The sequence below is a fragment of the Homo sapiens genome, chromosome 7, assembly GCF_000001405.40.
Source record: "Homo sapiens chromosome 7, GRCh38.p14 Primary Assembly".
Classification (NCBI taxonomy): Eukaryota; Metazoa; Chordata; class Mammalia; order Primates; family Hominidae; genus Homo; species Homo sapiens.
This window is the reverse complement of record NC_000007.14, coordinates 142,678,346-142,693,372: the sequence shown is the minus strand read 5'-3', so window position 1 is coordinate 142,693,372 and position 15,027 is coordinate 142,678,346. Positions and strand designations below refer to the sequence as shown.

General features: G+C 37.9%; 1 pseudogene and 1 further gene, besides 3 other annotated features; both read right to left on the bottom strand.

Moving 5' to 3' along the window:
- Positions 1–15,027, bottom strand: part of TRB (T cell receptor beta locus) — a 514,277-nt gene that overhangs the window by 119,915 nt on the left and 379,335 nt on the right.
- Positions 11,465–11,473: a recombination feature (RSS_nonamer).
- Positions 11,474–11,496: a recombination feature (RSS_spacer).
- Positions 11,497–11,503: a recombination feature (RSS_heptamer).
- On the bottom strand, positions 11,504–11,958 carry TRBVA (T cell receptor beta variable A (pseudogene); annotated as a pseudogene). The gene is given in 2 exon segments: positions 11,504–11,771; positions 11,911–11,958. Coding segments are annotated over 2 exon segments (316 nt in total).

Genomic DNA, 15,027 nt, shown 5'->3' with positions numbered 1-15,027 from the left:
GGACCATATAAAAGACAGACTCATTAATCTCATAAAAAATAAAATTAAACACACAAGAGAGATATTAGACTTATTAGACTCAATTTTGATGTCAAAAAAAATGGCCATAATGCACGGCCCAGGACACCAAGAGACTGATAGCTAGATAACTAAATGCAATAATCTAGCCAATCAGGCAGAAAAACATACAGCCAGGACAAGAGAGCCTAAAACAAAGGCTCTGGTACTTATTCCAAGTATGAATCTGTCCTTATTTAAACCCAGTACTCAAAGGTAAATCTAGAAAGAGCAAACCAGTAGGGATTTCATACTTATACTCAAGATTTGGATAGGGAACAGTATAAAACAAGAAGCCTAGGTTTACGATGAGCAAGGAATAGTTCTTGTCCCTGAGCACTGGATAAAGGATTATTTCCCAGTTACATCAAAGAACTCATTATAGAAGAAACACAACCTATCATTAGTTACCAAAGTTTGTTGTCAGGCTGCACGTACAAAAGACTATCCAGAAGGCTGCCCAAAATTGTCTTATTTGTGCTACAGAGAATCCAAAGACAGAACCACCTCCAGCAGGCAAAGGGGTCTAAACCTGAGGAACAGAAACAAGACAAGATTGTCAAATAGACTTTGTAGTTATGCCAGGAGCTGGAGGAAACTATAAATACCTGTCGGTACTTATAGACACCTTCACTAGATGGGTCAAGGTCTTTCCATGTCAAACAAAAAATGCATCTGAGGTAACTCAAGCTTTATTAAAAGACATAATTCCTTTGGATTGTCATTTTCAATTCAAAGTGACAACAGAGATATCAGACTTACCTAAGACATTTATGGAGCTCTTAGGATACAGGGGAAATTAAGCACCTCTTAGAGGCTCCAGTCTATTAGAAAGACTGAAAAGATAAACAATATCTTAAAAAAAGTACTTGCCAAAATGTGTCAAAAACCCAATTTAACATAGGATAAGATCTTGCCACTTGCCCTGCTTAGAGTAAGAATGACCCCTAAAAGTAAGCACCAGTTTAGCCCCTACAAAATTCTATGTGGGACAACCCTTCTTAAGACTAAATACTGTTTTAATATTGAAAATGATCATGATGGGTAAATGCATTAGATGCTATAAAATGTGTACAGTCTCTGGGTATAACTTTTTCTGCTATACATAATTACGCTTCTAGCTGTTTTAATGTTTCCTATAGATGTTCCTTTACATTGTCTAAGTCTAGGAAACTAAGTACAACTTAAGACCTAGAAAAACCGCTACCCTGAAGACCAACTACAGTTCAAACAGATTAGGTCCTTATGAAGTTCCTTTAGTGATCCATTCAGCAATAAAGTTAAAAGTGTTGAGGCCCTAAATTCATCATTCATGGGTAAAAGTTATTCCCATTTTCAGAAGATTCCTCTTGGCCCCTGTAAAATTCCCAAACAGGTCATGCCCTTCACAGATAAGAAAAGCCAAAGGACCAGACTGACCGTCTACCAGATGGCTGTGGAGGCCCACAACCAGCTTTTCCACCCAGGAACTCACTTGGAAACCCCTAACCTTTTTTTAAGTTACTTTTTAAAAAACCCAATAAGGCCAAAAGGGCTCCTAACTCTCCAGATAAGTGGAAATCCATTTCTGTCTCTAAAACCAGCCTCCATCTGATGGAACTGTGAGGGCAGAAACAGGAGACAATTAAAGGAGACAGCTTGCCCAAGATATTGGGCGAGGCCTGTATTAATGCAACTTAATTTTTGCCTTGTTGTCATATATACTATTCTATGCTATTGAATTAATCATCTCTACCTCCTTGATTTAACCTCAAAAATATTATTTGGGACCTTATAGCCCTTCCTTGGGTAGAGTTTATTTTTTTCTGATGCTTTTTTTTCTATCAGCCAAATATCTCCTCTCAGGGAAACAAAATGATTTCCTCTGTTAAAAATGCCCACAATTTTCCTCTATTACATCCTTTTGCTTGCCTTACCTCAACATAAAAGGATAATTTCTTTCCTTCTTTTTTTTTTTTCTTTTTCAGACAGAGTCTCACTCTGTCGTGCATGCTGCAATGCAGTGGCATGATCTCGCTCACTGCAACCTCTGCCTCCTGAGTTCAAGTGAATACATCTGGCTAAATTTTGTATTTTTAGTAGAGACAGGGTTTTACCATGTTGGCCAGGCTGGTCTCAAACTCCTGACCTCAAGTGATCCACCCACCTCAGCCTCCCAAAGTGCTGGGATTACAGGAATGAGCCACCATGACTGGCCAAAAAGATAATTTCTTGATAAAAATGTCCCAATCCCTACCTACCTCACAAAATCTATCTAAATGTTAGAGATGTCATCAAAAACCCTCCTCTGCACTTGATCACACTGATCTGCTGCTTATCTCTGTGACCAACTTCTCTAAAGTGCCTAATATTCTGGTGACCTATGATAAAAAACCCACAGGTATAACCTGTAGGGTCAGATTTGCTGGGGGAGGATCATTAGTTCCCTGTTTTCCATTAACATCCCCTGCAAAGACACTTATGTTAACAGCTTTAAAACTGAGGATAAAGGGGCCCATGCCCACAGAAGCCAGACACTGGCTAACGCAGAAACGAAAATCATCTCTTTACTTAACACACCTATTTTCCACTTCCTGTTTTCTATCCTCTGGTCCAGGAGATATACACTGATGTGTCCTCAAACTGTAGATCTACATGATTACATCAAGAGTTAAATAAAAAGAACCTAGTATGCCTTCAAGGACTGCCCTCTTCCCTACCAATTTGTAAGTTAGATAACTCCTTCTAGACTCCTCTATACTCTGACTCCTACTTTGACCAAGTCCTAAGTAAAATTCCTGAAACTGAGAACTTAGATGTTAACATATCTGGTATTTTTTTTTTTTTTTTTTTGAGATGGAGTCTTGCTCTGTCATCCAGGCTGGAGTGCAGTGGCGCGATCTCAGCTTACTGCAAGCTCCACCTCCCGGGTTCACGCCATTCTCCTGCCTCAGCCTCCCGAGTGGCTAGGACTACAGGTGTCCGCCACCATGCCTGGCTAATTCTTTGTATTTTTAGTGGAGATGGGGTTTCACCGTGTTGGCCAGGATGGTCCCAATCCCCTGACCTCATAATCTGCCCGCCTCGGCCTCCCAAAATGCTGGGATTACAGGCATGAGCCACCGCGCCCGGCAACATATCTGGTATTCTATGCGCCTCCTCAGGATATGTCTTTGTCTATGAAACAAACGACCAGCCCTCGGACTATGAATGCCTTGACAGCTGATGCCCCAAAGACATCTGTTTACTAGGGTACTTAGTCACTCCTTTCTCTGTCTGTGGCATTAGTGATGCTGGGCATTAGACTAACACCATAAAACTGTTCACCTTGGCCAAAAGATCTATGCTAAACCTCCTCCCAGTTAAATATTTACCAGGTGGCCCACCAGATGGTGTAGGATATTTCTTTAGACAAACTCTGTTGCCATGGTGGGGAGTTGCTTCTTATAAACATATGATTAAAAACCTTTCCATTGCCCTGAAAAAGCTTGCCAAGGAGACCACAATGGCCATGGTGGCTCAATAGAGAGAGCCAGGTGCTTTGGCTAAAGTAATAATAGATAATAAAATTACTCTAGATTATATACTGGCTAAACAAAGAGGTGTTTATGCTTTAATATGTCATGCTGTGTTTACATTAATACTTCTAAAAAAGTTGAGACCCACCCAAATAATAGACCAAAAGCCACTCGACGCCATCTAGTGTTCTCTAAAAAACCTGGATATAATATGTAAACAGCGTGTTTTCATTAGGAATAAGATCTATTTTTTGAGGGTCTACTTAAACTCAAAATTATATTTCTGTATGTGTTAAGATTTCTCTTCCTTCTCTCAAGGTCTCTACCTGCTGTCTATTTTTTAAATTGATTGTTAAATCAATTCCCCCTGCTCATGAAATAGTTATTAAATATCGAATTCCCTGACCCACCTGTTTGACCTCAACTCAGGACCTATGAATATTTGCAATTATTTATGAAACAATTTCATTCCTCAAACCCAGACCTATGTCCCTTGTCAACAAAAAGTAGCTAGAGTGGTAGACACTCTATTTTTTCAAGATTGAGAACTAAAGTAAACAAAAAGGGAGGGATTTGTAACTGCAGGATCAGCCCAAACTGGGTCTGTTATGTGGATAACAAAATATGAGTTAGCTTGTAGGTACGACAGAGCCAAAAGCTTTGACCTCAAATAACACCTGGAACGAACGATTCCTCCCTTCGGAACCAAGAAGACAGGAAGATGCTTGGAATCTGGAGGCTGAAACTCTTTCAGAAGCAAGGGGTTCATTGGCTGGAAAGATCTGGGCTCAAATCTGCCTCAACCTACTTTACCATAAATGGTTAAATCTGAAACCCTCCAATCAGACCCTATCAACCCAGTATCACTAAATCCTTGCTCTCAGTCCCTTAAAACTTGTCCAAGACCCCGAATCAGGAAGACAGATTTGAGCCGGCTTATTTCTCCTTGCTGACCAGTTTTGCAGTAAAACCTTTTCTTTTCTCAAAAGCTGGTGCCATGCTTATTGGCTTCTGAGCATATCAGACAACAAACCCATTTACTTGATTGCACTACCACAAGGTTAGTGGCTAACAAAGAAAGCTCTGGAGAGAGAGTGCCTAAGTTTAAATATGGGTTCTGCTACTTAAGCTCATTTTACGCAAGTAAGTTAACTGTGAATGCTTCAGTTTTACTCTCTGTAAGTTGTACTAATAAAAGTATGAACCTTGTGGATTTGCTGTGAAGATTACATGAATTAATGTGTTAAGAAGTTACAACTGCACAGTGTATAGTTATCACTCACTCAGGCTCAACTTTCAGAATGGTCAGCTAGTAGTAGCACTCTTACTGCTACCGCCATTAGTTATTATTGAGTCTTATTCTTGGCTAGGGATTGTGTCAGGCAATTTACATACATTTTCTCAACTAAATAAAACCTCTCAGAGCCAGGTATGACTATTTCCATTTTATAGGCTAGGAAACTACCTTTAGAGAGGTTAAGTAACATGGCAAAACTAGACGGTGACCAGATCAGTCCAGTTCTAAAATATGTACTTTCAACTATTAATAATAAATTTTTCAAATATTCTATACCTTGCATTTTTTTCTTTTTAAAGTTTGGCTGGAGACTTCTTCAGAAATTATTTTCATTTTACTCTAATTCCCAAAACTAAAACCACACTTAGCATGCTACCCTCAATGGCCTGAAATTCAAAATATCTTTTATTACCAGGTATCATTGACTAGCTCTGTTTATTTTTTTCTGAAAACCTTGAGCATGCTTATAACAAGTGGCTTACTCAAACCCAGTTCTTTTATCTCAGAATTGGTGGATCTCTTTTCATGAGCAGCTTCTGTAAAATCCTTTCTTTGTCTTCTTCTAGGTTCTATCCTTTGGTTGTCCTACTTCTTATTTCTAACTGACTTCCTTCAGCATTTAGTATATCTTGAATGATTACAAACAGTTCATTATCATGCTGAATCATCCTTGAAACTTCATTGGTATCTTCTTAGAAGAATGATGATATAATCAATGTGCAAAAATCACAAGCATTCTTATACACCAATAATGGACAGAGAGCCAAATCATGAGTGAACTCCCATTCACAATTGCTTCAAAGAGAATAAAATACCTAGGAATCCAACTTACAAGGGACGTTGAAGGACCTCTTCAAGGAGAACTACCAAACACTGCTCAATGAAATAAAGGAGGACACAAACAAATGGAAGAACATTCCATGCTCATGGATAGGAAGAATCAATATCGTGAAAATGGCCATACTGCCCAAGGTAATTTATAGATTCAATGCCATCCCTATCAAGCTACCAATGACTTTCTTCACAGAATTTGAAAAAACTACTTTAAGGTTCATATGGAACCAAAAAAGAGCCCGCATTGCCAAGTTAATCCTAAGCCAAAAGAACAAAGCTGGAGGCATCACACTACCTGACTTCAAACTATACCACAAGGCTACAGTAACCAAAACAGCATGGTACTGGTACCAAAACAGAGATATAGACCAATGGAACAGAACAGAGCCCTCAGAAATAATACCACACATCTACAACTATCTGATCTTTGATACTGTCAATGGAAGAATGAGGAGGTTCAAATTTGGAAGGGAGAGCTTTATTTCTCATAAAGGGTTGCAGCCTGCAGTGTGGCCATTCTGACAGGCTGGGAAGCACAGCCTCTGGCCAGAAGCCAGAAACACACATCTAGGGAGAGGCAAAGGGAAAAGAAATACATGCTGAGTGGAATGGCCAAATACAGATATTCAATAAGCTATAGGAGGAGTCATGAATATTAATAAAGGGAAAAACATATACATCCACAATTGAGTTTCCTGCCCCTTCATGGGATTCCTGTAAAAAAAAACTGGCCATGTTAGCATGATCTGGGGGTGGAGTTTTCAGCTCTCTGACATCAAAAGGTGAAGCAAAGGACACCAAAAGCCTCACTACACGTCCTCCATAGACTGGCCAGAAACACTGTTTGGTTGGTGGCCTTTTACCAGGCAAAAAGGAGGGACAGCATCAGACTTTCTGTTGCTTTTAGTGCTAGAGTCTTTTCAAAGGGCTGGTTTGTGTTTAGCCTTTAGGGAAGCAAACCTCATCATGGCTCTAAGGGAGAGGTATAATAAGGTGTGTCTGATCCCTCCATCCTGTCCTGGCCAAGAACTCAACATTCAAGGTTACTCTGGGGTGCCCTTGTCCCAGAGATGGTCCTTTCAGTCAGTTGGTGGGTATAGGATTTTATTTTTAGCTTATAATATAATTCTGAAGAATTATGTCTTCATAAATACATTTCTGTTTTGAATAAATACTTCATCCAACTGAACACATTTTTGTTTTAGCAATTTCTCTTCCTATTGGCTACTAGTCTGCTTCCAATGGAGGGAATAATTTTAGGGGATGTAATTCTTGGAGTGATCCTGTAGTTAAATATGTAATATAATACTCTCCCACCTGCTTCTTTTTGTTGCAGCTGCCTCCTTGCTGGGATGGTGCTGGTGCATATATTTATGTGTGTGAGTCTGGGAGTAAGTTCACTTGAGGTTAGGGTCTGAGGTGGGGAAAATATATATGCTACTCAAGAAACAGAATAAATTCCACATTGAAATTTCCTCAAGGGGTTTACTTCCTATGATCCTCTGTCTTTCCCTTCCTCTCAGGAGCAGGATGTGGTGTACCTCTGTGGCTTAGCAGAGGTGACGGCCCACCCTGATGGCTCATTGAGTGGCAGTGAGGAGATTCACCAAGGGAGTAGCTCCCCACTGAGCCCAGAGATTGTTGTGAAGCCCCTCACGGGAAGTCCCTGAAATTGAGAGGTGTGGCATTCATAGAAATGAGCCAATGTAGAAGTTTAAACCAACTGCATCTGTCCTTATATAAGGCATCATCAGAGTAAAGGTATTTTTATTCCTGTGTTCCTCTTCAGCATTTTCCACAGAGATTTTCTTCATCAGCCTCCTATTTTGACCTGCTTAGCAACAGGGCCCACTCTTAACTAGGGAAGGGAGATGAGACCTAAGACATGAGATAGTTAATAAATAATTCCGGGGTAAGTAGGAGATGGTGAGGCATAAGTGCAGGGTCAATTCCACAAAGGCATATTTGAGTCTTTCATATTATTGAACAAATATACATCTATGTGCACCATAGTACTAGACTCTGGGATACAAGCATGAACAACAAAAAGAAGGTCTCTTCTTCCATGGGGGCTTATGATTCTGTATTCTATATATCATTCCTAGTCCTACTACTGCAGTTACAGAGGTAAACAGATTTACAGTCCCATCTTTCAAAGACCATACTTGCCTAGAAGGAGTCAGACATGACCAAAAAGCCATAATATAGTAACAGACTTTAAATTGTTGTAAGCACATAGGGAAAGAAACCTCCATATCTCCGTGGGAAGAAAGGACTTCACAGAGGTAGTGTGGGTTTAAGTAAGATTTGTAGGAAAACAAATAATTTCCTGGTAGACCTAGGCTGGGGGACCAGCCTATGCAATATCTAAGAGAATATGGTATTTTTGGAGTTTGCAAAGAGTTCAGTAAAGCTGGAGACTATTGTTAAGAGACGTGAATGGCTGAAGGGGAGTGTAAATTTCCAGATAGGATTAGGATGTGTTCTCTCTCAATGCCTTTCTGAGACAGTATTTCCTACCCATCCCTTTCCCAGTGCTCAGGCCAAACCCATTGACTAATATAATGGATTTTAAGAGTAAGTTTACTAATATTGAAATACCCTTACCATCCTGGAGCAAACACCAATTTGTAGATTATTTTCTAGTGTCATTATTTGATTCTCTGTTATTGAATACTTTTTTATCAATACTAATCAGTGATGTAAGTCTATAGTTTTTTTTTTTTTTTTTTTTTTTTTTTTTTTTTAAGATGGAGTCTCGCTCTGTTGCCCAGGCTGGAGTGCAGTGGCATGATCTTGGCTCACTGAAACCTCCACCTCCCAGGTTCAAGCGATTCTCCTGCCTCAGCCTCCCAAGTAGCTGGGACTACAGGCACGTGCTGCCACAACCGGCTAATTTTTTGTATTTTTAGTAGAGACAGGGTTTCACTGTGTTAGCCGGGATGGTATTGATCTCCTGACCTCATGATCCACCCCCACCCTCAGCCTCCCAAAGTGTTGGGATTACAGGCATGAGCCACCACGCCTGGCCAGTCTATAGATTGATTTTTTTTTTAAGGTGCAGTTTTGTTGCACCTTAATATTTAGCTCATGTCATGAAAATAATTTAGAAATTTCCCCTACTGTTCTATACTTTGCAATGTTTTAGGTATTCTCAAAGTCCCTGATTTTAAAAGGTGTGGAAAAATCCCTGTAAGAAACTATATGGGACTGGCACTTTTCTGTGAGGAAATTCTATTACAAATTCATTTATTTCTTTTGTAGTCATTGTTTTGTTTAGGCTTTTTTCCACATTAGGGTCAGTTTTGCTAAATTTATAATGTGAGCCATTTCATTTAGGCTTTTAGGTTGTTTGCAGAGAATTATACAAAATATTGTTTTTAAAAATAGATTTTATCATGATACTTCCCTTTGTCACTTCTGTTTTAGTATATTTGTCCTCTCTGTCTTTTGGCTGGCAAACAATTATCTCATTTGCTTATTTCTTAGTTCTATCATTAAAACATTTTCTACCTTATTCACTTCTGCTTTTATGTTGATCGATTCCATTTTTTTGCTTCTGTCCTGTTCAGGATAAATGTCTGAAATGAGTCTTATGGGGCTAAAAATCAAGGTGTTGGCAGGTAGTGTTCCTTTTGTAGGCTTTATGGGAGAATCCATTTCTTTGCCTTTTCCAGCTTCTAGGTGCCATCTGCACTACTGGGCTCAGGGCCCTTCCTCCATCTTCAAAGTGTGTCTGTCATTCCGATCTCTACTTCCATTGTCACATAGCCTTTTTCTGACTTGCATCCTCTTGCCTCACTCTTACTACATGCACCAGACATAGTACTAGATTCTGGGATATAAGCATGAACAACAAATAAAGGTGTCTGCTCCCATCGGGCTTATAATTCTGTATCCAATATATTGTACCAAGTCCTACATACTGGATTTACAAAGGTAAGCGAATATATAGTCCAATCCCTCAAAAACCATACTAGTCTAGGAAGAGTCAGACATGACCATAAATATCATAACATAGTGATAGAAGTTGAAGTTTGTTTAATTTATTATAAACACATAAAGAAAGAAACCTCCATATCTGTCTGGGAAAAGAAAGAGGGCTTCACAGAGGTGGTTTTAGGTAAGATATTTTAGGAAAGTATGTGATGATATTGAGCCCACTCAGCTAATCAAGGAAAACCTCCCCATTTCAAGATCCTTAACTTAATCACATCTGCAAAATCCTTTCAGCAATGTGAGAGAACATATTCAAGATTTTCAAGGATTCAGATCTGAATATTTTGGGAGATTATTATTCAGTCTACCACAATGTGAAAATCTCTAAATAACTGCAGCAATACTTCTGAGAGAGAAATGTTTAGATGACTGAGATCATATCTTAGCTAGGGAAGCAAGAACTGATAAAACCCTGGTTTGTTCAATAAATATTTAAAGAGCAACTACTTTATTCAAAGCCTGTAATACTGTTGAAGATACAAAAATTAAAACCTTGGACATGGTCCTTGGCCTCATTGAGCATATTTTGTATTAATAATTTTAAAAACTATCATAATAAGTTAAACAATGAAATGTGTGATACTCTATGATTGTAGAAGCTCTGGGTACCATGGGGTATTTACCACGCATAGTCAGAGACTCAGCCATGATGATTATGCCATTTAAACATGAAGGATTAGGAGTACAGATAAATAGGGAGAGAAAGATTATTCTAGCTAGTGTGAACAGCATGTGTAAAGGCTCAGGAGTGAGTGAGAAAGTACATATGGAGCTTTGGGAGAGCTGAGGGATTATGAATATTATTAGAGCATAAGTATGCAAAAAGTGGGTAAAGAGTAGGTGAATTTCACAAGACTGGATAGGTATGCAAGGGCCAAATTATGGAGGGTTTTAAGAATTTGTAGTTTGGAAGTTTTTTTTTTTTTTTTTACGAAAAAACTTATAGGCTAACATTTAGATATAAAGAAGACTGGTCATAACCCTAAAGTCAATGGAAAGGAAGTGTTTTCAGCTGCAGAGAATGAACTGAGTTAGAAAAGAGAGTAAGACATCAGGTAGGTGGATATTTGGTAGGAGTTGAAGTAATTCAGGTCAAAGAAGTAATTCAGATCGAAGACAGTGGTTGCCTGAGCTAAGGCAGTATTCGTTGGGATAGAAAATAGTGGTTGAATTTGAGAGGTTTTAATAAACAGAAATGTTAAAGATGTGTTTATGGACCAATGTGGAAGAAGAATGTGACAGAAGAGGTGAAGATATTCTGGGGACTCTAGCTAAAGCAATTGAGTGAATGCTTGTACCACTTAGGGATCCCAGTGACACAGAAGATGCATGTCACAACATACCTTAGGGTGGGTTATTGTCTCAAGAAGCTAGAGAGCCAGGACTGGGACAAGGATGAGGAAAGGCATTGCAATGAATGTGTTTGGGACCTGAAGAGGGGATATCTTGTCTGAGGAGCAATAAACCTGAAAGGGCAGAGTAAGGATCTTAATACATATAATTTAATCTCAGAAATAGAAAATGAGACTATTTGAACTGGCCATAGACTTAGGAACATTTTCTCGACTTCTGTACTCACTAGTAGAGCACAAGGAGGTATAGGAAATATTGCCTTTTGAAGTCTGATGCAAGGTTGCTGCTCAGGTCAGACTTCCTACCCAAAAAAAAAAATCTCATGTAAAAGGTTCTGGAAAGTTCTATTCTCTCCTCCTCTGAAAGAAGTTCTTTCTCAGAATAGGGTGGAGCCTCTTGTGGGTGGGCACTCCTCCCTTTGAGACTGCCATTTTGTGAGGTGAGCACATGCCTGTGCAGTGCTGTGGAGTGACGGTACAAGGACACAGGGACATCTGAAAGGGAGTTGCAGATTTCAGAGCCAAAGAGAACTTCTATTTTTTGCCAGGAAATATTTTCAATAGGGATATGTCTCTAATCAACAATGTCAATGTTAACTGAATAATGAGTCGGCTCTAATTCCAACCCTGATTCTTGTGAAAACCAGTATGAAATCTTGGCACTTATCTTGAGAACTCCTTTCCTGTCTCTGCAATCAGGTGTCTTAGAGTCTAGGTGGCTTCAGCTTCTACGAGCTGGGGTTTATGAGCTGAGGGGACAGAAGACAGAAAGAGAGCCAAGGAGAGAGCCTGGTGCTGCAGACTCCAGGAAGGAACCTGGGCTGTGGGCAGGCAAGCTCAGAATAAGAATTTCCCAAATGTTTCCAAGACTCACTGCCCCCAGGAAACAAAAGTACATGCAAGGGAGGAATAACCAGCTATGGTGGAATGAAGAGGTCAGCAAAGTTCCCCATAAAATAAGTATAAAACTCAAACAATTCTCATCAAAAGGCAGGAATTTTCTTTTTTCCTTAGGAGTAAAAGCTATTTGTTTCTGTACCAAGAGTAAGGCACACATGTTTTCATGGCTGTGGGCTATGAATAGTAATTTGAATTATATTTTATGCAAACACTTGTTTAATGCACATTTCAGTATAAGCCAAAATTACTATAATTTTGTTACTACAAAAATTTTTATATTATACTGCTATATAAGCTTAGTTGAAAGCTATCTCATTTCTTTATTATTTATTTAAAATTGACAAATAGAAATTATATATATTTATTGTATACAATGTGATATTGTGACATTTTAATATATGTATACATTGTGGAATAATTAAATCAAGCTAACATATGCATAATCTCACATACTTATTTTGTTTTGACTTTTTTTTGGTAGGAACATTTAAAATCTACATTCTTAGCAATTTTCAAGAGTACATATATTATTAACTATAGTAATCATGCTGCATATTAGGTCTCTAGAACTTCTTTCTGTCTGATTAAAACATGTACCTTTTGACCAACATTTCCCTATTTCCTATGCCTCCCTTCCTGAAACCCCATCCCAGTGCTTGGCAATTACCCTTCTACTCTCTGCTTCTGTGGGTTTGACTTTGTTGGATTCCATGAATAAGTGAGACCATGCATTATTTGTTTTTCTGTGCCTGAATTATTTCACTTAGCATAATGTCTCCAGGTCCAAACATGTTGTTGCAAATTATATGATTGCCTTTTTCTGTAGGGTTGAGTATTATTCCATTGTGTGTGTGTGTGTATGTGTGTATGTATACACATATACGTATAAATAATATATATATTTATATATACATATACAGAATTTATATCATATATTCTTCATCTAGTCATCCCTTGGTGGAAACCTAGGTTAATTCTGTATTTTGGCTATGTGAATAATGCTTCAAGGAACACAAGAGTACATATATTTATTCAACATACAGATTTCATATCCTTTGGATTTATATCTAGAACTGGAATTGCTAGATTATATGATAGTTCTATTTTTAATTTTCTGAGGAACCTCCATACTGTTTGTCAAAATGGCTGTACTAATTTACATTCTGTATTAGGTCAGGGTTCTCTAAAGGGGCAGAACTAATAGGATAGATGAAGAGGAGTTTATTAAAGGGTATTTACTCATACAAACACGAGGTAAAGTCCCATAATAGGTCTTCTGCCATCCGAGGAGCCAGGAAGCCAGTCTGAGTCCCAAAACATCAAAAGTAGGGAAGTTGAGAGTGTAGTCTTCAGTCTGTGGCCGAAGGCCCAAGAGCCCCTGGCAAATCACTAGTTTAAGTCCAAGAGTCTAAAAACTGAAGAACTTGGAATCCGATGTTTGAGAGCAGGAAGCATCCAGCATGGGAGAAAGATGAAAGCCAGAAGATTTAGACAGTCTAGTCCTTCCACATTCTTCTGTCTGCTTTTATTCTAGCCATGCTGGCAGCTGATTAGATTGTACCCACCCATATTGAGGGTGGTCTGCCTTTCCCAGTCCACTGATTCAAATGTTAATCTCCTTTGGCAACACCATCACAGACACACCCAGGAACAATACTTTGCATCCTTAATCCAACCAAGTTGACACTCAATATTAACCATCACACATTTCTGCCAACAATGTACATGATTCCCTTTTCTGCACATCCTTATCAATGCTTGTTATCTTTTGTCTTTGTAGTGTTAGCCAGTGTATCAGTTGTGAAGTGATATCTCATTGTGGCTTTAATTTATATTTCTCTGATAATTAGCAATGATAAACATTTATTCATTTGTATGCTTTCTCTTGAGAAATGTCTATTCAGGTCATTTGGCCATATGTTAATTGGGTTGTTTTCTTGCTAATGAGTGTGAATTTCTTATATATTTTGGATATTAATCCTTTTTCAGACATGTGGTTTGCAAATATTTTCTCCCATTTTGTAGCTTGCCTTTTTATTCTGTTGATTATTTCCTTTCCTTTCCTTTCCTTTCCTTTCCTGTGCAGAAACTTTTTAGTTTGATGTAATCCCACTTGTCTAATTTGGTTTTTGTTGCCTATGCTTTTGCAGTAATATCTAAAAATTGTTTACCAAGACCAGTATTAAGAAGCTTTTCCCCTATGTTTTCTAATAGTATTTTAAAAATTTCAGGTCTTATGCTTATGTCTTTAATTTATTTTGAGTTGATTTTATGTTGTAAAATAGAAAGACCAAAATCCAACTATTTTCTGACTATGGGAAATCACTTTAGTTTTAAAGACACAAATATATTGAAAGTAAAGTATGGAAAAGCATATGTCATATTAGTAACCATAAAAGCTTGAGTGGCTATATTAATATCAGAGAAATAAATTTTAAAGCAAAAAATATTATTACAGAAAAACACTTCATAATGATTAAAGTTTCAACCTATATATGTATATCAAATGATATAAAAAATATACAAAATATATATTCCTTCTATGTGTGTTTGTGCATATGTATTTTTTATATTTATTCACACATATATTTATCCTTTAAGGTGCTTTTAATTTCTTACTATGGATTTTAGTTGCTAACAATGTCATTTTCTCTCAGCTGGATGACTTCCTTTAATATTTCTTGTAAGACAGGTCTGCTAACCACACAATTCTGTAGCCTTTGTTTATCTGGGAATGTCTTTATTTCATTTTCATTTACAGAGGATAGTTTTGCTGGATATAGAATTTTTGGTGGAATTTTTTTCTTTCAGTGCCTCTCCATTATCTTCTGATCTCCATTGTTTCTGATTTAAAGTCAGAAACAATGACTTCTGATTTAAAGTCAGATTAATTGTATTGCTCTTCTCTTTCAAATGATGAGTCATTTTTCTCTTGTTGAAAAAATATATTGATTTCAATACATTATTTGTGGATTTTGGCTTTCTGAAGTTTAACTATAATGTAGCTAGACATAGATATCTTTGTGTTTACTGTGTTTGAGAGATGTTAAGCTTCTAGATTCTTTCGATTAATGTTTTTCAACAAATTTGA